Source organism: Homo sapiens, chromosome 22 (assembly GCF_000001405.40).
Source record: "Homo sapiens chromosome 22, GRCh38.p14 Primary Assembly".
NCBI lineage: Eukaryota > Metazoa > Chordata > Mammalia > Primates > Hominidae > Homo > Homo sapiens.
This window is the reverse complement of record NC_000022.11, coordinates 27357801-27384386: the sequence shown is the minus strand read 5'-3', so window position 1 is coordinate 27384386 and position 26586 is coordinate 27357801. Positions and strand designations below refer to the sequence as shown.

Below are 26586 nucleotides of genomic sequence, written 5' to 3'. Positions count from 1 at the left end.
CGGGGCAAGTGTGGAAGAGACATGGATTTGAGCATGGCTTACTTTTATTAGTCTGTGGCCCAGATTCAGAGCCATTATAAATATTTAAGAAAGCTGTGTATTTTTCCATGCACAAAACGGAATGGCCTTTGATCAGAAATGTCTAATTTTAGTGAAAATGATCATAACATTGCCAGTCATTTGATATGTGCTGACCAATGCTCAGGTTAGAAGCAAGGAAGAACCTTATACCTTGATTTTGCCCTAATTGCCCCACCATGGCCTTTCAAGGCTTGATTAGGCCCATTTTACAGATGAGAAAACTGAGGCTCTGAGAAGGGAGTAATTCGTCCAAAGTCACAAGGCTGATGAATGCAGGAACCAGTTTTCAGCTCCAGACTGAGCCTTTTACCTCTATGCTCTGTGTGGAAAGGGGCTAAGTGGTGGGGAAAACATCATAATTTCTTTCCTTTTATTTTATTTATTTTTTGAGGCAGAGTCTTACTTTATCGCCAAGGCTGGAGTGCAGTGGCATGATCTTGGCTCAATGCAACCTCCACCTCCTAGGTTCAAGTGATTCTCCTGCCTCAGTCTCCCGAGTAGCTGGGACTACAGTCGCCTGCCACCACGCCCGGCTAATTTCTTGTATTTTTAGTAGAGACAGGTTTTCACCGTGTTAGCCAGGATGGTCTCGAACTCCTGACCTCGTGATCCGGCTGCCTCGGCCTCCCAAAGTGCTGGGATTAAAGGCGTGAGTCACTGCGCCCAGCCCCCATAATTTATTATAAGGAATAAAAAGGATGGACTACATAGGGAAAAAAACATCACAAAACCAAACAGAAGAGATGTCTTAATTCCCGTTCCCATCAATGCAACTAGAGGGTATTTTATTGTTTTGTTGTTTTCAGAGTCGTTTGCATCCTTTTTTTTCTTTTTCTCCTTTTAATACTGGGCATCATATTTGCTGTGTCATGTTATGTCTTGTTCTCTTTTGTCTTTTCAATTACTATTATGTTACAATTATGTTTCCATGTTGTTATTCATTTTTGTCAACATTGGAACGGCTGTGTAATATCCTCTCCTATAGACAAGTCATAATTCATTTTTCATTTCCCCTTGGGTGGATATTTAGGTCGCTGCCCATTTGAGGGCTCATATTTAATGTCACAGGGAGCATCGTTCCTTGTGTGTCGTTTTCTTCAATATCTAGAATGTTCCATAGAAGCTGGGACACAGGTCCGAGGAACGCGTGTTTGTAAAGAGCTTGAGGTGTAGCACCACGTTGCTTCAAAGACGCGCTGCCCTCACCACCAGCAGCAAACGAGGGGGCCCTTCTCACCCATCCTGGTTCAGGTGATGGACACATAACCTGAACAACAGCAGCAACAATGTGCTGTGAGAAAATTAAGTGAAAACGGCATCTCCTCACTTGAATGTCTTTTTCTCTGATTCCCACAAAGCTGAGCTTTTCCCCATATGTTTGTTAACCAGATACATTTCCACTTTTGTAAAGAGTCTGTTTATGGGAAGAATATTCTTAAAGTTAAAATAGAATTTGAAAAATATTCAGAAGCAAGAAATTAAGGTGGAATCTAGAAACCAGGCAACGGACCCTGAGCTTGTCCGTTAAACTCATCAGCTAATCTCACTCCCCTCTGTGGACGCAAAAGGCACTGATGCCCTGTGGGCAGGGGGTGGGCAGTGGGTGGGTACTGGGTCGGAGGTTGAGCTGGGGAGACTCAAATGTGGGGAGGGGTTCCCACACACAGATGGACCTTGGGTTGGGGCTGAGAGGGTGAGCTCATCAAGGGATGAGACCCACCTGTCATCCGGAACTCAGACCGCTCCCCATTCCAGTACAGAGCCAGGCAATTATGTTTCACTGTGCTCTGGGCTGGGACGAGGCTCGCCCAGGGGCTGGGAGGGATGGGTACAAGACAGTCTCTGACCCAGCCTGGGGTTGGGGGAAGGCAGCTGTCTGGGGAGGCACTGTCTCCTGGCTTCCCCACAGCAGGTGCTCCTGGCTACCACCATCACCTGTTGGGATGGGACCAGAGCCTTCCCCACTGGCCTCCTTTGGCCATTCTAGCACCTCTAGAGTCCAGCCTCAGTCAGTCAGTCCAATACAGCAGCCACATACTCTGTGATGGATCCTGTCACTCCCCTACAGGGGGAGTCTGCCTTCTACCCTAAAGGAATCCAGCCTCCTTCACTCTGCCCTCTTGCGTTCTCCAGCCTCATCTCCTACCCTACCTCCCATCTCATGCATTTCCAGGAACACCCACTTTTCTGTTCCTGAAACCCACTCAGTGCACTTTGCACATGCTGTTCCCTGTGTTTGGAATGCTCTTCCCCAGATCTGCACAGGGCTGAATGTCACCACCTCAAGGAGGCTGCCCTGATTGCTGCTCACATTCTCCCTCTTGAGACCCTGTTTCTTTTCTTCCTGGCACTGGACTGCCTCGGAAATGTCCTTGGAGCCTCTGCCTGCCACTGATTCTTCACTTTGATTGCCTGTAGGATCCTCCTGGGAGCTTTTAAAAATACTGATGGCCGGGCCCCACCCCAGACTAATTAAATCAGGACCTCTGAGAGGTGCATGGGGGCCTGGGTTACGCTTTAAAAGCTCCCCTGGGGATTCTAATGTGCAGCCAGGGCCAAGACCACGGATGTTTGAGATGCTTATTTATTGCTCAGTTATTGACTTGTCCCACTCACTTCCTCCCCAATGTCAGCTTCACAAATGACAGAAACCACAGCTCCACCCTCAGAGCCCAGCACCTGGTCTGGCACATCTGAGATGCTTAATTTGGGGAATGATTTTTCAACAGAAAATCCTGACTTGCAAAACTCAGCCACTGCAGAATCTACACTACGTCTGAGAACCTTCCAGTAGTTCCAAATGGCTGGGAAAAAAAAAAAGAAAAAAAAGACGGATGGGTCACAGTACTGTCCCCATTTTCCAGATAAGGAATCCCAGTGTGTTCGGAATAGAAGCATCTTGGGTGCTGTTCCCAGTGTGGATTGGAGGAGAGTTAAGTAAACATCGGAATAAAGAGGGGAGCTTCATTTTGTCAATTCAAAGACTGACGATTAAGATTTGAAAAATAATAGAAGAGAAATTAGCAGGCCTTGCATCTAACTCTTTTGAAAACAATAAATAAAAGGACTGCGTGTCTTTAAGGCAGTGAATGTGGGGGAGAAAATAAGGTACCTCATTCTGCGCCTGTTCTCTGGGCTTGTCTGTATTCCTGTCGGCAGCCGGGCCCACATAAACATTCGGCACGCAGCACTTGCAGACACTTTTTAATAGAATCGCTTAAAACAATTAATTACCAGAGTTTTCATTCAAGCTGCACTGCAAAAGATACGCCGGCAATAAAAGGCATTTATCCGCGGGTTTCTCGAGGCCTGTTTGTTATTAAGATGTAAATTAAATCATCACAGATGTTCCATTTTTTAATCTAGGCCTGGGAAGATCAGGGCCAAGCGTGGCCTAAACGGGTTTATTTCATTACCCGCACATTCATTAGAAACCCACCGTCTTATTGGATATCATTTTTCTTGGGTGACTTTTTTTCCCCTTCTTAAACAAATTATCAAGATAATTTGTTCATTTCCCTTTCTGCTCGTTCTTAGCGCTCACAAGCTCCAGGGTGGGGTCTGAGGGCTCCTGGTGAGGGGAATTTGTTTGGGGTTCTGGGGGAGAGGTCATTTGCCTTCCTGGAGATGGGAGAAACCTAGCACCATCTCCAGACATAGAGGTGGGGGAATCTTCTGGGAATTTCTGGAAAATAATTCTCTTCTACAACAGAGATGCATTGGAGAGTGGGATTGAAATCTTTGGCTGTAGCTCACAGAGAGTTTAATTTCTGAATGGGAAGGGACTGTCACACGCCCCGCAGCCTAGCCCCACTCTTTGCCCTTGTTCTACTAAGATGCTTAGAGTGTGTGTGCCACCATCTGAAGGCACCTGCCACCCTTGCCTGCTTTTTTGTTTACATTCCACCTCCACGTCAGGGCTGCGACTGTCTTGTTTACCACTGTATCCTCAAAGACTTGCACAGTGCCTGGCACAAAGTAGGTGTTCAGATGGTAAATAAACGAATGTTAGCAGTTACTGTTTAAATGCCCGGCATGGTACTTAACACACATAATTTCACGTAACTCCCCCGCTTATCCAACAACCTAGGCAGGAGAGACTATTATCATCCTCATTTTAGCGATGAAGTCAGCCTGTTGCAGAAAAGTACGGGAATTTGCCCAAGGTCCCATGACCAGTGAGTGGAAGGGTTAGGATTTGAACCCACGTCTGCCTGGCTCCAAATTCCTTTGATTTAACTCCTCACTATTCCACAGCTAGGCATTTGGGCGTCATTGAGTCTAAAACTCACTGGGGTGTTTAACATTTATTTAGTGTCAAGCACCTCGCTGGGCATAGGGAAGTGCTTACCAATAGCTCAGGAAGGCTCTCAGAGGTGGGCAGGCATCACCCTTAGCCTCCCTCGGTCCCCATCTAATGTAGCTGTTTTGCAGATGCAGAAGCCGAAATGCAGTCATAGAAGGGCTACATAGGCTGAGACTCAGGATTAGCAAATAACTTGCAGGACCCAGTGCAAAATGACAATGCAGAGACCCTTGTTTGGACAAGGGATCTTATCCCATAATAAGAATTTCATGACCATAGGTGACAGAGCATTAAACAGAGCTCCAGGCCTTCAGGGTTCTGAGAGACTGCAGGGGTCACAAGCCAGTGACCTGGCCCTGCTGAGACTTAGGGCCCATCTCAGTTTTTTCCACCACGTGCTGCTCCTCTTCTTCCGGACTGCCCTACTGCACCTCTCCAGCCCACCTGCCCTCCCACCTTTTCTCCATGTTTATCTGAATTTTCAGTAGAATAAGCCCATCTGAGCTTGTGCAGCCCTCATGTATAGGAGGGAATTAACACATAGGATCACACGCTGGGGTGAGCCACTGAGTAGGGTTTGCTCTGATCATGATGATGATGATTACAGATGTGGTTTTGTTGCATTGTGCAGGCTGGAGTATAGTAGTACCATTATAGCTCACTGCAGCCTCAAACTCCTGCACTCAAGGGATCCTCCCGTCTCAGCCTCCTGAGCTGCTAGGACTACAGACGAGTGTCACCACACCTGGCACTTGTCCATGATTTCCTTGTGTTTCTCCAACAGCCAAATGCAGCAGATGTCCCTATTCCCATCCTGCAGGGGAGGAAACAGAGAGGTAAAGTGACTTGCTCAAGCTCACACAGCCTGTGGATTCCAATCCTGCTCTCCTCTGTGGCACCAGTGGCTGCTGGACCTGCTTCTTTTGCAAAAACAATCTTTTGCAGAAACCTGACCCTCCTATAAGACAGAAGCCCAAACGATTTGTCTGAGGTGGGAACCAGCGTCTGAGGCTTGCCCCTGTTGCCCAGTGGCTGCAGGTGGAGGGGCAATGTTCCTTCCCAGAGGTATGCTGTTTCCCAAGTTCAAACAGTTAGTAAGAAGTGGAGCAGCACATGAACTCAGGGCTGCTAGCATCCCTGAACATCCTCTCCTGCTAGAAATCAGAAGGCATTTGCTTGGCTTCTTTAACTCCTAACGCCCCCACAGCAAAGCGCATGGCTCACCTAGAGCCTGGACTTTACCCAGGGAACTCAGGGTATCCGAGACCATCAGAGCAAGGAGGTCGCGGAGACAGCGATCATGGGGGTGCTAGGGCCCGCAGAGGGAAGGGGCCCTGCCAGGCTGTGGAGAGACCATCCCTCAGAGGCACCAGCCCAGACCGCCCCCCTCCCGCTTGACAGCGCACTGTGTACAGCCGCAGCAGCCCCCTGCTGTGAAATGATCATTTTCTGCTTCCTGCCTGTGGATGGTTTCATGTTTTCATCAAGTTCTGAAGAAAAGGAATGGGAAAATATCGTGGCTTTTATCCCCCCACCACGTGCTACAGAAATTGCCTTTTTATGAAAGTCCTTGTGGTTTCTTGAGTATTTCACAAACTCTCAGAGCTGGGAGATCCCTTCAACATACAGCTTTATATTCCCAAACTTCTCTGTCTTTGAAAACTCCAGGAAAACTGGGTTGGAGTTTCGGGAGTGAGCAGGACAAGCGAGAGAATTTAGATGGGAAGGTACTTTTTGCAGAAGATACTTGAGACGACACACATGACTTCAGCTCCCGCGAGGCTGTTACAAGGAGGCAGTGCTGCTGTTCCCTCTGGCACCCAGGGAACAGCTGGTGTCAGGCAAAAAGCCACAGGCTTTGAGAGCAAACACACCAGGTTTCAAACCCTATCTGTGAAAGCTGAATGACCTTGGGCAACTGCCAGGACCTCTCTGAGCCCAGTTCCTCATCCGTGAAATGTTATGGTGATCCCTACCATGTAGGGGTGTTACGAGGATTAAATGAGAGGCTGTTTATGAAGCCCCCAGCGTGGTGCCTGGCACACAGCATGCTCTCAGTGCAGGACAATTTGCCACTAACCCAACCCGTTTCTCTTTAAGTCATTTTAGGACAAAAAAAAAAAAAAATAAATCGCATGAGATTAAAATCTCTCTGTTTTTTTTCATCCCCCCTCCCCCCTGATTTGGTAAATGCTGAATGTATAAATAGTTTCAAAAAAGGCTTGGACAAATTCCTGCATAATTACGCCATGGAGTTATTAAAGGTAAAACACCTACTCTAAGACACTTAGCCGACTTCTGCTCGCACGTCCCTGGGCTTCAGGTTGAACTCGTTTGCCTGGAGTCGGCATGGTTGGCACAGGGAGAAGCAGGCCTAGGGTGTATGGTCTGCCCAGCCAAAGGCCTTTATCATTATGCAGAGTTAATTGAAGGATTAATATGTGTTTTCACGAAAGGTTCCTTTCCTTGTTCAAAATCGAGTTCTCCATAATGAATGAGTAATTGCAACATTCAAGAACAAAACATATACATCTACACAAATACATGTCCACATATATATCTTATTATATATTTTACATAATATATTTTATTTTATATATATTATAAGATTTGTTTTATTTTATTTTGGAGGCAAGGTCTCACCCTGTTGCCCAGGCTGGAGTGCAGCAGTGTGATCATTGCTCATTGCAGTCTTGACTTCCCAGGCTCAAACAATCCTCCTGCCTCAGCCTCTAGCTAATTAAAAAAAATTTTTTTAAGAGAAAGAGTCTTGCTATGATGTCCAGGCTGGCCTCAAACTCCTGGGCTAAAGCAATCCAGCCACCTTGGCCTCACGAAGTGCTGGGATTACACACATAAGCCACTGCACCTGGACTATAAAATATATTTTAAATCCTTAAGTAAGATTTTAACTGCTAGGTACAAATATGTGTCTTTCTCACTGTTTCTTAACAGTTTGTCTTCAGTCTCTCCCCCAAAATCGCAAAACTAAGATTGTTCAGCAACTGAAAACAAAGCAACAAGAAAAAGCACTCTAGCAAATACTTGCAAGGAACAGAATTAGATCACATAAGGATATATTTTTGCAGAATTGTATTTACTGAAGTGATGCCATTTTAAAACAGTACTACGAATGTTGCTCCTTTGAAGGCATTGTTCATAAATTCAATCTTTAGTCTCTAAGTGAAGTCCCATTTGATACATTTATTTCAAAATGGAGAGTAAGGACATATTTGGCCAACATTAAGAAAATTTTCTGAAAAGGGTTTGCAACTTATTTTTTAATTAATTTTATTTTTATTCCTTTTCCCAGGCCTCTAGAAAGTTCCAAGTGAGATTTTATTTCTCATGCCAGAGCATTCTTTTTTTTTTAAAAGCTGATTCCATTTTCCTCTGAATTATTTTTATTTTTATTTTTTATTATATGTTAAGTACTAGGGTACATGTGCACAACATGCAGATTTGATACATAGGTATACATGTGCCACGTTGGTTTGCTGCACCCATCAACTTGTCATTTATATTATTTCTCCTAATGCTATCCCTCCTCCAGCCCCCCACCCTCTGACAGGTCCCGGTAGGTGATGTTCCCCGCCCTGTGTCCAAGTGATCTCATTGTTCAATTCCCACCTATGAGTGAGAACATGCAGTGTTTGGTTTTCTGTCCTTGTGATAGTTTGCTGAGAATGATGGTTCCCAGCTTCAACCATGTTCCTGCCAAGGACATGAACCCATTCTTTTTTACGGCTGCATAGTATTCTGTGGTGTATATGTGCCACATTTTCTTAATCCAGTCTATCATTGATGGACATTTTGGTTGGTTCCAAGTCTTTGCTATTGTGAATAGTGCTGCAATAAACATACATGTGCATGTGTCTTTATAGTAGCATGATTTATAATCCTTTGGGTATATACCCAGTAATGAGATTGCTGGGTCAAATGGTATTTCTAGTTCTAGATCCTTGAGGGATTGCCACACTGTCTTCCACCATGCTTGAACTAATTTACACTCCCACCAACAGTGTAAAAGTGTTCCTATTTCTCCACATCCTCTCCAGCATCTGTTGTTTCCTGACTTTTTCATGATTGCCATTCTAACTGGCATGAGATGGTATCTCATTGTGGTTTTGATTTGCATTTCTCTAATGACCAGTGATGATGAGCATTTTTTCATGTGTCTGTTGGCTGCATAAATGTCTTCTTTTGAGAAGTGTCTGTTCATATCCTTTGCCCACTTTTTGATGGGGTTGTTTGAAGTGCGATGTGGTGCTGAGAAGAATGTATATTCTGTTAATTTGGGGTGGAGAGTTCTGTAGATGTTTATTGGGTCTGCTTGGTGCAGAACTGAGTTCAAGTCCTGGATATCGTTGTTAACCTTCTGTCTCGTTGATCTGTCTAATATTGAGAGTGGGGTGTTAAAGTCTCCCATTATTATTGTGTGGGAGTCTAAGTCTCTTTGTAGGTCTCTAAGGACTTGCTTTATGAGTCTGTGTGCTCCTGTATTGGGTGCATATATATTTAGGATAGTTAGGTCTTCTCATTGAATTGATCCCTTTACCACTATGTAATGGCCTTCTTTGTCTCTTTTAATCTTTGTTGGTTTAAATTCTGTTTTATCAGAGACTAGGAATGCAAGCCCTGCTATTTTTTTGCTTTCATTTGCTTCATAGATCGTCCTCCATACCTTTATTTTGAGCCTATGTGTGTCTCTGCATGTGAGATGGGTCTCCTGAATACAGCTCACTGATGGGTCTTGACTCTTTATCCAATTTGCCAGTCTGTGTCTTTTAACTGAGGTATTTAGCCCATTTACATTTAAGGTTAATATTGTTATGTGGGAATTTGATCCTGTCATTATGATGTCAGCTGGTTATTTTGCCCGTTAATTGATGCAGTTTCTTCCTAGCATTGATGGTCTTTACAATTTGGCATGTTTTTGCAATGGCTGGTACTGGTTGTTTCTTTCCGTGTTTAGCGCTTCCTTCAGGAGCTCTATAAGGCAGGCCTGGTGGTGACAAAATCTCTCAGCATTTGCCTGTCTGTAAAGGATTTTATTTCTCCTTCACTTATGAAGCTGGATATAAAATTCTGGGTTGAAAATTCTTTTCTTTAAGAATGTTGAATATTGGCCGCCACTCTCTTCTGGCTTGTAGGGTTTCTGCTGAGAGGTTCACTGTTAGTCTGATGGGCTTCCCTTTGTGGGTAACTTGACCTTTCTCTCTGGCTGCCCCTAACATTTTTTCCTTCACTTCGACCTTGGTGAATCTGACAATTATGTGTCTTGGGGTTGCTCTCCTCAAGGAGTATCTTTGTGATGTTCTCTGTATTTCCTGAATTTGAATGTTGGCCTGCCTTGCTATGTTGGAGTTCTTCTGGATAGTATCCTGAGGAGCGTTTTCCAACTTGGTTCCATTCTCCTTATCACTTTCAGGTACACCAATCAAACATAGATTTGGTCTTTTCACATAGCCCCATATTTCTTGGATGCTTTGTTTGTTTCTTTTTTCTCTAACCTTCTCTTCTTGCTTTATTTCATTAATTTGATCTTCAATCACTGATACCCTTTCTTCCACTTGATCAGATCGGCTACTGAAGCTTGCGCATGCATCATGAAGTTCTCATGCCATGGTTTTCAGCTCCATCAGGTCATTTAAGTTCTTCTCTACACTGTTTATTCTAGTTAGCCATTCATCTAATTTTTATTCAAGGTTTTTAGCTTCCTTGCATGGGTTCGAACACGTTCCTTTAGCTCAGAGAAGTTTGTTATTACCGACCTTCTGAAGCCTACTCTGTCAACTTGTCAAAATAATTCTCTGTCCAGCTCTGTTCCATTGCTGGTAGGAGTTGCAATCCTTTGGAGGAGAAGAAATGCTCTGATTTTTAGAATTTTCAGCTTTTCTGCTCTGGTTTCTCCCCATCTTTGTGGTTTTATCTACCTTTGGTCTTTGATGTTGGTGACCTACAGATGGGGTTTTGGTGTGGATGTCCTTTTTGCTGATGTTGATGCTATTCCTTTCTGTTTGTTAGTTTTCCTTCTAATAGTCAGGTCCCTCAGCTATAGATCTGTTGGAGTTTGCTGGAGGTCCACTCTAGACCCTGTTTGCCTAGGAGCAGTGGAGGCTGCAGAACAGCAAATATTGCAGAACAGCAAATATTGCTGCCTGATCCTTCCTCTGGAAGCTTCGTCCCAGAGGGGCACCCACCTATATGAGGTGTCTGTCGGCCCCTACTGGGAGGTATCTCCCAGTTAGGCTACATGGTGGTCAGGGACCCACTTGAGGATGCAGTCTGTCCATTCTCTGAGCTCAAACGCCGTGCTGGGAGAACCACTGCTCTCTTCAGAGCTGTCAGACAGGGATGTTTATGTCTACAGAAGTTGTCTGTTGCCTTTTGTTCAGCTGTGCCCTGCCCACAGAGGTGGAGTCTAGAGGCAGTAGGCCTTGATGAGCTGTGTTGGGCTCCGCCCAGTTTGAGCTTCCTGGCTGCTTTGTTTACCTACTCAAGCCTCAGCAATGGTGGACGCCCCTCCCCCAGCAAGGCTGCTGCCTGGCAGTTCCATCTCAGACCGCTGCGCTAGTGGCGAGCAAGGCTCTGTGGGCATGGGACCCGCTGAGCCAGGCATGGGAGAGAATCTCCTTGTCTACTGGTTGCTAAGACCTCGGGAAAAGCACAGTATTTCGGTGGCAGTGTCCTGTTTTTCCAGGTACAGTCTGTCATGGGTTCCCTTGGCTAAGAAAGAGAAATCCCCTGACCTTTTGCACTTCCCAGGGGAGGCGACACCCCACCCTGCTTCAGCTTGCCCTCCATGGGCTGTACCACTGTCCAACCAGTCCCAGTAAGATGAACCACTTACCTTAGTTGGAAATGCAGAAATCACCCGTCTTCTGTGTTGATCATGCTGGGCACTGCAGACTGGAGCTGTTCCTTTTTGGCCATGTTGGAACAGAGGCCCAGAGCATTCTTATCCATTTTTTTGATCTTTTTTTTCTTCTTTTGAATTCCCATTGTATTAGTCTATGGTATGATTCTTCTTATTTTTCTAAACAAGTTTTTGAACTTATTTTCCCAAATGTTATGGGGTACAAATATTATTTTAAAAAGTAGAAAACAATGAATCAGATTTCTCTTTGCTTTGCAATGCTCAGTTTGGTTGGTATTTATGCATAATGTTTGTCCACTGTGCTTCATACAAAGCACTAAGGACTTAGGTAATAGAGATGCCATACCGAAGTATCTTTCAAATGGGAACATAATATGTCCCTGAAATCATTTGAAGTTCACACATGGCAAAATACAGACAGCACTAGATCTCCTGGAAGCTGAGAGGCCACCTTCACTCTGAGGACCCTGTGGTTTCAGGTGGGCCCAGGGAATGAATGCAGAGAGGCTCATATGGACAGAGTGGGGTCCTGGTACCCAGGAGGGTGTGAACCCAGCCAACCTGAAGACACTCTCAGTTCCACAGAAAGGCAAAGCCCCAAGTGTTCTTTGCTGCTGAGCTGCTGCTTCAGCTCCTCTCTGGGGCTGCTGGGGAGCTCAGGATGAATTTTCAGCTGCATTTCAGGTCATCCCAATTCCATGCTGAAGGGCAGAGAAGGTAAATTCACTGGAGCCTGGCTACTTCCCCTTGCTGTTTGGTCTCAGGGTTTCTTGGGGTCTGCCTGACAACTGCCATCATGAAGGGTCATGAGAAAACATGGGTGTCTCTGAGTCTCTTGGGCAGGGCCCTTGAGGCATTTCCCTTCTGTTTCATCTTTTTATTCTTTTTATCTTTCTCTCATTCTCAGTCATTTCTTCCCTTTCCCATTTTCTGTCTTGAGAACCGCTTGCCTATTTCATTTTCTCACTCCTTTCTGTCTCTCTTTTTCTTTGCTTCTCTTTTATTTCTCAATCTTTTTTTTTCTTTTCTCTGGCCATTTTGCTAATTTTTTGTTCCTTGTCTCCTGTCTGTCTGTTCTCATTCTTCACTTTTTTCTTCTCCCTTCTCTTACCACTTCTCTCTCCTGCTCTATTTCATTTCCATGTCTGTCTTTCTTTTCTCTCTCCTTCTATTCTCCTCTTTACCCTGCCTGTCTCCTCTTCTCTCCTCCCCATTTCCTCCCTCTCTCCTTCTCTCTGTCTCTCTCTCTCTCACACACACACACACACACACACTTTCTTGAGAACATGGCAGGAGATCAGGAACCAGACACATTGTGACTTTGGTATGTATTGAAGGTACAGTGTCCTTACAACCTGACAGGCCAAAAAGACAAAAAAAAAAAAAAAAAAAAAAGAAAAAAAGAACTCACCAAGTCTTGCAAGCACTTTGATGCTGAAAGCCCCATGTTTGACACAGGCATGAGGCACCTTGAGGCTCTTATATTGATTAGCTCAAAGGGGAATTGCTTCCTCTCCCAGACCTGTCAGCGTTTTCGACATTTCTGAAAATGATAGGAGACTGGGAACAAAAACCTCCTCTCTAGGCTCCCTGAAATCCTGCGTTAAGCAAAGGTACATGTCCAGTTGAATTTTCTGGTGGCCAAGACTCTGCTGTGGCATGGCTGAAGGTCACACGTTTTGGCTATTTCAAAAGATGTTGTGGCCCAATGGGAAGGTGAGGAGCTCTGCATTGCGAATGTGTCCAAGGCTGGAGACACCAGCAGCCAGTGCCAGGCTGGGTCTGCTCAGCTGCTCAAGTGCCTGCCCCTGGCACCACTCCCCAATCCCCCAACCCTGTCCTCCTCACATGCAGGGCTGGTTACCCTCCAGACATCATCCCCCTTCTGCGTCTGACTCCCCAGGTGTGGGGGAGCAGGTAGGGGTGGGGTGAGATTGATAGGCAGGCCTGGATCTGCCACCTGGGTTCACTGATGCCTTTATTTATGCAGCAAGCATTTATTAAGCACCCACTGTGTATAAGGTATTGAGCAGAGAGCAGTGAATACTGACAGAGACCTGGCCTTCGAGGCCCTTAAGCATAGCTGGGGAGATAGACAAGTACGAGAGGGCAAGAAGGATCTAAGCAAGTATATCTGGACATGCACTTACCTATGAGCCAGCAATTCCACTTCAATGTACACACCCAACGTCAATGAGCCCATATGGTCACCAAATATTTATAGCAGTAGTATTTGTAATAGCCATCCACTGCCCATCAGTAGTAGAATGGATACATAAATTATGGTCTATTCACATGATGGAATACTACACAGTAATAAAACGAATGATCTACAACTGCGCATAAGAGTTTGGATGAATCTCAACACACAATTGTATTCGTCCGTTCTCACGCTGCTATAAAGAACTACCTGAGACTGGGTAATTTATGAAGAAAAGAGGTTTAATTGACTCACAGTTCTGCAGGCTTAACAGGAAGGATGATTGGGAGGCCTCAGGAAACTTACAATCATGGCAGAAAGTGAAAGGGAAGCAAGCACTTTCTTCACATGGTGGCAGGAGACAGAGGAAGCAAAGGGGGAAGTGCCACACACTTTCAGACAACCGGATCTCATGAGAACTCAGTCACTATCATGAGAACAGCAAAGGGGAAGTCCACCCCATGATTCAATCACCTCCCAGCAGGCCCCTCCCCCGACACGTGGGGATTACAATTTGAGCTGAGGTTTGGGTGGCGACACAGAGCCAAGCCATATCAACAATATTGAGTAAATGAAGTGAGATGCAAAAAAGAACATATTGTATGTTTCCATTTTATAAAAATCAAGAATAGGCAAAGCTACTGTGGGGGGTCAATGGGCAGGGTAACAATTATTTTGAGGGGGTTGAGTAAAGTGGGGTGCAAATGTGGCTTCTAGGGTGCTGATAGCTTTCTACTTCTTAGTCTGGGTGCTAGTTACACAGGTGTGTTGACTTAAATGAGGATTCTTTGAGCTGTAAATCATGCTGCACCTTATGACGTGTACCTTTTTAATGATTTTGCATGTGATGTATCAATTTAAATATTTCACTAAAGAAATAGTAAATCATGGAGGACTTTCAGCATCATGGTTGCCTGAGCTGGTGTAGCATTTCCCCTCTCTCAATACAAATGCATAGAATTGTGAATACAATATAATCAAATAATAAACACAATTATAAAAATTTTCCCAGTGTGAACAAAAGAAGGAACATCCCCGGGATTCAGAAACAAAGACAGAAGACAGAGGTTCAAGCTGGGGCCGTGTGAGAAGCTGACGTTAAGAGTAGCAGGCTGGTGTTAAGACCTCAGATCCCAGCCTCAGGGCCAGAGCAGACACAAATCCTGAGGCTGGGGTCTGGGGTCCTAGCACCATGGGCAACCAGATCTGTCACAAAGCAAAGGGCTCAGAAACAAGCCCTCCTCCTCCCCCTCACTCTGTAAAGTGCTCCTGGATCACATAGACTGAAATAATTCACCCCTACCTCCAGCCGAGAGCAGCAGGCAGAAACTCCACAATATGGGGCTTTAAGAGTGGCAAAGGATCAGTCAGGCACGGTGGCTCACACCTGTAATCCCAGCACTTTGAGAGGCTGAGGCAGGTGGATCACGAGGTCAGCAGTTCGAGACCAGCCCGGCCAATACGGTGAAACCCCATCTCTACTAAAAATACAAAAAGTAGCCAGGCATGGTGGCGTGCTCCTGTAGTCCCAGCTACTCAGCAGGCTGAGGCGGGAGAATCGCTTGAACCCAGAAGGCGGAGGTTGCAGGGAACTGAGATTGATCCACTGCACTTCAACCTGGGTGACAGAGTGAGACTCCTTCTCAAACAAAAAAAAAAAGTGGCAAAGGATCATAAAAAGAGAAGAAAATATCCCCCAAAGAAGTCAAAACCTTATCCTGCCCTATGCATGGATGTGGAGTACAGATGCCCTCTTCCTCTGTAGTGTGGGAACCACAAATAAGATAGTAACATAAGAACTGGCCCAGGACAATAGAAGTCTCTTGAACTGCAAAGTAGGAAGCCAGAAAGCCCTCAATGTGGATTGTACTGTAATTCAGGGTACACTAGAATCCCCCGGAACAGTCAGTTCTGCTGAAGACAAGCTCACAAGCAGAATCACAGAGAAGCATAGGAAACAAATCAGCCAGGGGAGGGCCAGCAGCAGGAGCGATTAATGAAAAATCAGTACCTGGAAAACTCAAACATATAGAGTAGTCTGAAGGAGATTTTTTAAACGTGATATTTAAGAGGATTAAAAAGATTTTAAAAAGTACAAGAAAATGTAATAACAAAGAGGATGCTATAAAAGGCAGGTTTGAGGCTGGGTGTGGTGGCTCGTGTCGGTAATCCCAACACTTTGGGAGGCCAAGGTGGGTGGATCACCTGAGGTCACCAGCTTGGCCAACATGGTGAAACCCATCTCTACTAAAAATACAAAAGAACTTAGCTGGGTGTGATGGTGCATGCCCGCAGTCCCAGCTACTCAGGAGGCTGAGGCAGGAGAATTGCTTGAACCTGAGAGGCAGAGGTTGCAGTGAGCTGAGATCGCGCCACTGCACTCCAGCCTGGGTGACAGAGTGAGACTCTGTCTCAAAAAAAAAAAAAAAAAAAAAAAAAAAAAAAAAAAAAAAAAAGAAAGCAGATTTGAAAAAGAAACAAGGAGCATTTGAGTATTTATTATTCTAAATTATCTGTCTATCTCCTTATGTATTTATCTATCTACTCACAATCATTAAAATCTCAATAGATAGGACCAACAGCAAATTACACAAGGGAAGACAGAAATTATGAATAGGAAGATATGCTTGAAGAAACTATCCTGGGTACGTCAGGGAGAAATAAAGACATGGGACATATGGAAAGGCAACTGAGACACATGGATGACAGAATGAGTGAATCCAACTTAAGTGTGATAGGGCTTCCAAAAGAACAGAAAAATGGTGATGGGAGAGAGCATGAGTCAAAGAGATAAAGACAAAACTGAGGAAAGGTGTGTTTTCGGATTGGTGGATCACAGAGCCCTTCTTCTCAATAGAGAAATGAATGAATCAATCAATCAATAACAAACTGTCTTGACCAAGGCACATCTTGATAAAAGTGCAGAACACCAAAGACAGAGGGAAAAATCTGAAAAACTATTAGACAGAAGAGACAAATGGCCTTCGAAGGAACAAGAATCAGACTGACAGTGGATTTTTATTTAGCACCAGTATATGTGGGGAGGCCAAATATAATATTTTCAAAGTGTTGAGGGAACTGATTGTCAGGTTAAACTTTTCTTTCTTTTCTTTCACACAACTAAACCATTATAAAAGGGTGGAGGTTAAATATAGATACTCTAAAACAAAATGAAGAGAGCTTACTTCTCAGAGACACTCACTAAAAGAATTACCAAAGGATATAAGTAGAAATTGGAATGTAGGGAGAAGAAATAGAATGGAAGAAGCAACACTGAGCAAAGAAATAGATAAAGATGTTAAAGAAATCCAAACCAGCACAGAGAATATAGATATAATAATGTCTATGGTTTAAGAGAATTAAAAAAAATGAAACTAAAATATCAGTTACGAAAGAAAGGGGAGAGTTAGGAGTTCTAGAGTTCTTATATTGCTTGACAGGAAGATAATAACAATGATAAATCTTAGCATTCAAGACAAGTTTGCATGTTAAAAATGTATGGGTTGGCACTGGAAGAATAAAATAGAACAAATAACTTCTAAATCAGTAGCGTTAAATAAAAGAGAGAAGGGAGAGGATGTAAGGAAAATATCACACAATAGAAAGTGAGTAGGGAGGATCAGAAGCAGGCTAAAATATATCAGAAGTCATTCTGAAAATACATTTATTTAGATTAAATAAGGACAAAGTTTTTAAAAAATCCACTTCTTCTTATTATTATTATTATTTTGAAGACAAGGTCTCACTCTGTTGCCCAAGCTGGAATAGACGTGCGATCTTACCTTACTGCAACCTTTGCCTCCCAGGCTCAAGCCATCCTCCCACCTCAGCCTCCTGAGTAGCAGGGACTACAGGTGCGTACCACCATGCCCGGGTAATTTTTGTATTTTTTGTGGAGATGAGGTCTCACCAAAAGAGGAGGCTGGTCTCAAACTCCTGAGAGCAAGTGATCCACACACCTCAGCCTCCTAAAGATCTGGGATTACAGGTGTGAGCCACTGTGCCTGGCCACGTATATATTATTTGCAAGTGACCCACCTAAGACTAAAGAAAACCAGTTACTGAAAGTAAAGAATGTAAAAAGACAAACCAGGTAAATATTAAACTAAAAGAAATACTGTAGCAATATCAGATAAAGTAGAGAAATCATTAGGGAAAGGCTCATTATGTAAAGTTGGAAGCCAAAATGTGCCAGCAAGACAATTCTGAACCTATATGTCCCCTCTTACAAAGCCCCAAAGTATATGTTAAAAAATTGACAGAAGACATAGGCAAATTCATAATTGTAATGAGAAATGTTTAGCATAGCTCTCCGAAAATGATAGATCAAGGAGACAAAAAGTTAATATGCACGTAGGAAATTTGAATAACGAAACTTGTGAATAATGAAACTCTATAAACTGGTGTTTATAGATGTGTGCCTGAAGTGATTAGAGAATGCAAAACATTTTTAACTACGTATAGAATATTTACCATTTACCAGACTACAGGGCTAGTCTCAGTATATTTCAAATAATCCACATTTTGTCATTGACCATTATGGAAAAAAAGAAAAAAAGACAAGTTTTTCCTTATCATATGTTTAGATATTAAAACACGTATAAGTAATTCAATTATTAAAGAAGACATTGTAATGAAATTAACCACAAATATTTAGTCTTGAATGATGATTAAAAACAGAGAAAAAAATTACAGATTTCTGGCTTTTAATCCAGCATGTAAGGAACTTAAAAATTGCTGCTCTGTCCTAACAACAAGTAAAAGAATGAAAACAAGGAAATGTCAACAACACTTGTTAAACATGTCGGGGGAAAAGAGATCACAGAGCAAACCACTGCCCCCAAAACTGGAGCGATGAACAGGTGGATACAGAGAATCACAATTTATCATAGCAGAAATCCATTAGCAGAAACCTCAGTGGGAACCAGTGCCAGAGATGGAAAACCTAAACTGGAATCGACAAATTTCTGGATGCTTGGTGTGGACAAGTCTGAGAGTTAAAAACTCCCGGGGGATCCAGTTTATAGGGAGCTACCACATGTTTGTGAGTTTTACCTCCAGGAAGTTTGCCAGGTTCTCATAGTAAATTCATAGTAAATACAGGAAAAAAATATTCCCATGCTTCCATCAGAGTATGTGGAAAAGGACCCATTTTGCCATTTTGATTGTTCTTAGCAAGTCCTATCCTCAGAAGAACCGAACCCATCTGGGGAAAGGAAAATATCCTATTCTAGCTGGCTCTAGCCTTCCATGTGGGGAAAGGCAAATACCCAAATCCACCTACCTCTAGGAATTCTGTCCCACCTAAGAGGGGAAAATAACTTAGCAGCACTAGTGAAATTCATACCAAAAGACTGAGACCTAATCACAGGGTTATAGAATACTTTTTCTCCCCACACAGCTTACCACCACATTACTAAAGGGCTATTTATCATAGTTCCTTGTACCCAGTACATTATGTTCACCTTTTAACAAGAAATTACAGGCATACAAAAAGTAGAAAAAGCACAGTTTGAAGATATTAAACAAGCATCAGAACCAGATCATATATGGCAGGAATGTTGAGATGATCAGAACAGAATTTTTAAAAAACTATAATTGATATTAAGCCCTTTAGAATATTCTAAGGGCTTTAATGAAAAAAGTAGACAACATGCAAAAAGAGATGAACAAAGTAAGCAGTGAGATGGGAATTCTAAGAAGGAATAAAAAATTCTAGAGATAAAAAACACTGTAACAGAAATAAGAATGCCTTTGACGGGCTCATTAGTAGACCAGACATGACTGAATAAAGAATATCTGAGCTTGAGGATATGACACCAGAAACTTTCAAAGCTGAAAAGCAAAGAGAAAAAAGACTGAAAAAAAAAACCCATAACAGAATGTCCAAGAACTATGAGACAGGTACAAAAGGTGTAAATAACATATGCATAATGACAATATCAGAAGAATAAAAGAGAAGAGAACAGAAGCAATATTAGAGCAATAATGGAGAATCTTCCCAAATTAATGTCAGACATCAAAACGTAAATCCAGGAAGGTCAGAGAATACCAAACAGGAAAAATGCCAAAAAACTTAACACCTCAACATATATTCAAACTTCTGAAAGTCAAAAATTAGAAAAATTATTGAAGAAACCAGAGGGAAGAAACACCTTACTTATAGAGCAGCAAAGTAAGAATTACATCCAATGTCTCCTCAGGAACCATACAAACTGGAAGAGAGTGAAAGTATAACAGAAAAAAACCCCACCAATCTAGAATTCTGTACCCTGCAAAATTATCCTTTAAATGTGAGAGATAAATACTTTCTCAAACAAAAATTGAGAAATTTTGGTGTCAGTAGACCTGCCTTGAAAGAAATGTTGAAAGAAGTTCTTCAGGGAGAAGGAAAATGATAATGTAGCAGAAGTTCAGCTCTACACAAAGAGCATCAGAGAATAAATAATTGAAATTAAAATGAAAACTTCTGTTTTTCTTATTTCAAATTGTGTTAACTGATAAGAATTTGTTTAAAATAATAACAGCAACAATGTATTTGATTACATACACACAGGCACACACACATATGCATAAGTGAAAATAATGACTTCAATGATACAGGGTCAGGAGGGAGGAATTTGGAATATTTTGTCATTACAAGGTAGTTGCACTAACAATGAAGAGGTATAGTGTTATTGAAAAGTAGACTTGGATTCGTTGTGAATGTATGTTGCAAACTCTTGAAAAATGAGTATAACCGATATGTTAAGAATGGAGAGAGGCTGAAATTGTATAAGGTGCTCAAGTAAAGCATCAAAAGTCAGAAAAAGTGTAGAAGACAAAATTAGGAACAAAAAACCAAAGACAACAAATAGGAAACAGTAACAAATATAATAGATATTAATTCAATTATATCAATAATTACTTTAAATGTCAATGGTCTAAATATACCAATTAAGAGACAATGATTATCAGAGTGGGTCAGAAAACAAGACTCAACTATATGCTGTCCAAAAGAAACCCACTTTAAATATAAAGATATATAGGATAAAGGGAAAAGAGTAGAGAAAGGTAGCTCATGCTAACACCAATCAAAAGAAAGCTGGAGTAGCTATATAATAATTTCAGACAGAGTAGACTTCAAAGCAATGAAAGTATCAGGAATAGAGAGGCATTATATAATGATAAAGAGGTCAATACTCTAAGAAGATATAATAATTGTTAATACAGAGGTACCTAACAACAGAGCATTGAACTGCATGAGGCACAAACCAATAGAGCCTCAAGGAGATATAGATAAATCCACCAGTGTAACTGGAGACTTTAACACCCCCCTATTAGAAAGGAACAGTTCCAGAAGGCAGAAAATCAGCAAGAACGTGGTTGAACTTGAACTCAACAGCACCATCAATCAAGAGGATATAATTGACATCTATAGACAATTTTATCCTGCAATAGCACAATGCACATTCTTCTCAAACTCATATGTAACATCCACCAAGGTAGACCACATTTTGGGCTATAAAATATGCCTTAACAAATTTAAACAATAGAAATCATACAATGTCTGCTCTCAGAGCACAATTAGGAATAAATAACCGAAAGATAGCTGCAAAATCCCCAAATACCTGAAGATGAAACAACATACTTCTAAAATAGAATTGGATCACAGAAGAAATCTTAAGGGAAGTTAAGAATTATTTTGAAATAAATGAAAATGGAAATACATCTTGTCGAAATTTGTGGGATGCAGTGAAAGCAGTGCTTAGAGGGAAATTTATAGCATAGATGCATGTTTTAAAAATAAGATTGAAAATCAATAATCTAAATTTCTACTTTAGGAAACTAGAAAAAAGGAGAAAATCTAATCTAAAGTAAACAGAAGAAAAGAAATAATAAAAACTAGAGCTGAAAGTAATAAAATTGAAAGCAGGAAATCAATTGAGAAAATCAATGAAACGGAAAGCTGGTTCTTTGAAAAGATTAATAAAATTGATAAGTCTCTACTTGGCCTAAGAAAAAGAAAGAAGACACAAATTACTAATATCAGAAATGAAAGAAAGAACATCATTATATATCCCACGGACATGGAAATGATAATAAAGAAATATTATGGACAAGTCTATGTCCACAGATTTGATAATCTAGATGAAAGAGACCAATACCTTGAAAGACACACTCACACAAGAGGAAGCAGACTATCTGAATAGGCCCGTATCTATTAGAGAAATTGGATAAATAATTAATTACCTTCCAAAACAGAAAGCACTAGGCCCAGATACACTCATTGGTGAATTCTAACAAACATTTAAGGATGAAATTATGCCAATTCTCTACAACCTCTTTTACAAGATAGAAGCAGAGTAACTACTTCTTAACTAACTCTATAAGGCCAGTATTACCCTAAAACCAAAACCAGAAAAAGTATTACAAGAAAACTAGAAACCAATATCTCTCATGAATGTACATGTAAAAATTCTCAAAATATTAGAAAATTGAATTCAACAACATATAAAAATTATATACCACAGCTAAGTGAGATTTATTCTATATATGTGGCACTGGTTTAACATTCAAAAATCAATAAGTGTAATTCATTACATCAACAGGGTGAAGAAAAAAATTTGTTTTCAATAGATGCAGAAAATGCATTTGACAGAGTTCAATACCCATTCATAATAAAATCTTTCAGCAAACTAGGAAAAGAGGGGAACTTCCTCAACTTGATAAAGAACATCTAAAAAAAAGCTACAGCTAACCTCATGATTAACAGTGAGAAACTCAAAGCTTTCCCACTAAGGTCAGGAACAAGGCAAGGATATCCCCTCATAGCACTCCTTTTCAATATACATCCTGGCTAATGCAGTAAGACTAGAAAATAAAATAAAAGGCATACAGATTGGGAAGAAAGAAATAAAGCTGTCTTTGTTCATAGATGACATGACTTGTCTATGTACAAAATGTGAAAGAATCAACAAAAGAATGCCTGGAACTAATTATAGCAAGGTTACAAAATACAAGGTTAATATACAAAAGTCAATCACTTTTCTAAATGCCAGCAATGAACAAATGAAATTTAAAATAAAAAGCATATTATTTCCATTTAAAATAAAACATTTAGGTATAAATCTAAAAAAATGTACAAAATCTATGTGAGGAAAACCACAAAACTCTGATGAAAGATACTAAATAATAACTTAATAAATGGGAAGGTATTCCAAGTTTATGGATAGGAGGACCCAATATTGTCAAGATGTCAGTTCTTCCCAAGTTGATCCATCAAGATTCAATGCAATACCCAATCAAATCCCAGACAGTTATTTTGTGGATATTGGAAAACTGATTATGAAGTTTATATAAACTGGTGAGCACAGTGGCTCACACCTGTAATTCCAGCACTTTGGGAGGCTGAGATGGGAAAATGCTTGAAGCCAGGAGTTTGAGACCAGCTTGGGCACAACATAGCAAGACCTTGTCTCTACAAGAAGAAAAACAAAAGAAAACAACAAAACCAAAATTTATATGGAGAGGCCAAAGACCCAGAATAGCCGACTCAATACTGAAGGAGAACAAACAGACCTGACACTATCTGACTTTTAAGACTTACTATTAAGCTACAGTAATCAAGACAGTATGGTATTGGTGAAAGAAAAAAACTAGAGCAATGGAAGAGAACAGAGAGCCCAGAAGTAGCCTCATGGAAATATAGTTAGCTGATCTTCACAAAATGAGCAAAGGCATTGCAATGGAGCAAAGATACTCTTTTCAATAAATGGTGTTGGAACAACAAGATATCCACATGCAAAAAAAAGTCAATCTACGTGCAAATCTTTTACCCTTCACTCAAGATAGATCACAGACTTAAATGTAAAATGCAAAACTCTAAAACTCCTAGAGATAACATAGGAGAAAATCTAGATGACCTTGGGTTTGGTGGTGACTTTTTAAGTACAACACCAAGGGCACAATCCATGAAAGAAATAATTGATAAGCCGTACTTCATTAAAATTAAAATTAAAATTTTCTGCCTGCAAGAAACAATGTTAAGAGAGCTTGGAGAAAATATTTGCAAGAGACATATGTGATAAAGGATTGCTGTCCAAAATATACACAGGACTCTTAAAACTTGACAACAAACAACCCTATTAAAAAGTGGCCCAGAAACCTTTACAGACACCTCACCAAAGAAGGTATAGGTGGGAAATAAGCTATGAAAAGATGTTCTGCATAGTATGTCATCAGGGAAATGCAAATTAAAACAACAATGAAATACTACTACAGACCTATTAGAATGACCCAAATCCAAAACACTGACAATACCAAATGCTGGCAAGGATATAGAGCCGCAGGAACTCTCATTCATTGCTGATGGGAAGGCAAATAAATGGTACAGCCACTTTGGAAGACAGTTTGGCTGTTTCTTACAAAACAAAACATACTTTTATCATACAATCCACCAGTTGAACTCCTTGGCTTTTACCTGAGGGAGTAGAAACTTTTCACAGAAAACCTGTATATGGATATTTATAGAAACTGTATTCTGAATTGGCAAAATGTGAAAGCAACTGAGACGTCCATCAGTAGGCGAATGAGTAAACGGTGGTACATTCAGACAATGAAATATTATTCAGCACTGAAAGAAATGAGCTATTAAGCCATAAGAAGACATGAAGGAAACTTGAATGCATATTACAAAATGAAAGAAGCCAGTCTAAAAAGCCTACATACTGTATGTTTCCAAATATATGACAGTCTGTAAGAGGCAAACCTGTAGAGATAGTTAAAAATATCAGTGGTTTCTATGGGGTAGGCTCAGGGAAGGATGAATAGGTGGGGCACAGAAGATTTTTAGGGCAGAGAAACCATTCTGTATAATACTACAGGTATGGGTACATGTCATTACACACTTGTACAAATCCATAGAATGTCTGACACCAAGAGTGAAGCCTAATGTAAACTATGGACATTGGATGCTAATGATGTGTCAATGTAAGTTCATTTACTGTAGCACGTGTACCACAGTGGTGGGGGATTTCAACAGTGAGGGAACTTGTGCATATGTGGGGGACAGGGGGCATATGGGAGCTCTCGGTTGTTTCCATTCAATTTTGCTGTGATCCTAAAACACAGTAAAGTTTATTAGTTAAAAAAATTATGCAAAGCAGCTATAGCTGCACTTAGTGGCAGATATACAGACCTAAAATGAATCTGTTTCAAAAGGAGGATGACTGACAAGTAATGAGCAATGTATTTGACTTGAGAAATTAGGGAAAGGAATAGTAGGGCCAACACTTTAATGCTTTCTATTATACTCAGAGTAAAATTCCAACTCCTACCATGGTCTATGAGTTCTGCATGGTCTGGACTTTGCTCACTACTTCAACCTTGACCCCATCTCCTCTCACTGCCCTCAGCAGAGGCATACAAGTGTGCATTTGTGTACACACACACACACACACACAAACACAGTCTATGCCAGGCTTCTGACATCTCACACACCAAGCTCTGCCCTGTCTCAGGACACTTGCACTTGCTGCTGCATCTTCTTGGAACTCCCACTTTTCTCTCTCTCAAACCCCATACACATCTCTTCAAATGGCTGGACACTTGACATTTGTCAGGCATTGGAGAAGCCTTCCTGGGCCACTCTATGGCCTTTCTTTCTTTGTTTCCAACATATCACTTATCATGGGTAACTATTTTATTTTCTTACTTGTTTCTTTTCTTTCCCCCCATTAGACTCCCAGCTCCATGAGGACAGGGCCTGGGATCTTGCTTATGGCAAACTGGAATGATTGGACACCTTAGCTCTTACAGTGTGTGCATTTTGATATGAAAGTGTTCACATTAAATTTCAATGACCTGGTCTAAGAAAATAACTGCTATCCTTCAATAGAGCTTACATTTTACTAATCCCCATATAGATGATCTTATTTAAATTATTTCATAGGACAATCTGCAAACTGTGCCATCATTCATATACTCTGTTTGGTCTACAAACCCAGGAGCAGGGACCCACATCTTTTCCTAGGTACCTGGTTCTACAGTAGCTTTGCTGCTGGCCTGGCCAGAAGCTGGGCCCCAAGTTCTGAACTCCGGATTAAGCAGCGTTTGTGTAACTTTCTCATTTTGTAAAACGATTGTAGGTCAAGAAATCACAACAAGAGAAGGACAAAAGGCTGGGCAAATTGCTCTATTAACTGAGCTAAAAGGCCCAGTAGGTGATAGCTTTGCTACCTATCAGGTAATTAGCTGCCCTGGAAGCCTGCTTTGTCTAAGGCCTCAGAGAAGAGAAGCCCTCCTTTGTCGCAGGTAAGCAGCCCATTTTCCAATCAGTGGCTCTAATTGCCAGATCACTGGCTTGCACACCTGCTAGGGCCAGACTTGCTCTGTTGGGGAGGTGAATATAGACACACAATCTCCTGGGACCTAGTCACCTGGGTCAGTGGGAATTGAGTGGATGTCCTGGTGCTCAGAAGTGTTTGTGGCCAAGATAGAGACGGTGGGGGATTCAGCTCTGGGAGGATGCCACTTTGTGTTTAGAGCTGTCCATGGCTCCCAGTGTCCTTCTGAAATATACAGACCAGCACTTTTCCAGTGCGAGTGTGCTTTCCCAGGGGATCTTGGTAAAAAGCAGATGCTGATGCAGTAGGCCTGGGTGGAGCCGCAATTCTACAATTTCAGCCAGCATCCAGGTGACAGAGACTGCTGGTCTGTGGACCACACTTTAAGGAGCAAGACATGGAGCTCCAGGCTGACTTTGGGAGAAGGGGAAGTACAGGATTTGTCTGGTACCCCTGAAGTCTTGGCTCAGGTTTCCACTCCCACATCCTGGGCTATGCTAGGTGGTCCTTCGGCGCTCTTGTGACCTCCGTGAAGCCCATCACAGTGTGGACCACACCGTATTGTAAATGCTTATTTACCTTTAAGGCCTGGGCACCTCCTGTGAGGCCACTCCTGACAGCAATGTCCACCGTGGGGCTTGCAAAGGGCACACATTGTCATTGTTCACCAAACTGAACTGGATTATGTGCCTAGTTCTGCCACCATAGCCACATGTCACTTCTTCACTCAAAGCTGCACTTTTCTCATCAGCTGAGTGGGCACAGTGAGAGGCAACCTATATCACCCACTCAC

The 26586-nt window shown here is 41.9% G+C and overlaps 3 annotated features.

Moving 5' to 3' along the window:
- Positions 10533-11033: an enhancer, noted in NCBI's record as "NANOG-H3K4me1 hESC enhancer chr22:27769315-27769815 (GRCh37/hg19 assembly coordinates)". NCBI's record gives its function as "activates a minimal SCP1, AML or CMV promoter by ChIP-STARR-seq in naive and primed H9 embryonic stem cells {active_cell/tissue: H9 hESC(naive and primed)}" and the evidence as "EXISTENCE:reporter gene assay evidence [ECO:0000049][PMID:30033119]".
- Positions 25452-26000: an enhancer, noted in NCBI's record as "NANOG hESC enhancer chr22:27754348-27754896 (GRCh37/hg19 assembly coordinates)". NCBI's record gives its function as "activates a minimal SCP1, AML or CMV promoter by ChIP-STARR-seq in naive H9 embryonic stem cells {active_cell/tissue: H9 hESC(naive)}" and the evidence as "EXISTENCE:reporter gene assay evidence [ECO:0000049][PMID:30033119]".
- Positions 25565-25859: a silencer, noted in NCBI's record as "tiled region #1424; HepG2 Repressive non-DNase unmatched - State 24:Quies, and K562 Repressive non-DNase unmatched - State 24:Quies". NCBI's record gives its function as "represses a minimal TATA promoter and a strong SV40 promoter by Sharpr-MPRA in HepG2 and K562 cells {active_cell/tissue: HepG2 | K562}" and the evidence as "EXISTENCE:reporter gene assay evidence [ECO:0000049][PMID:27701403]".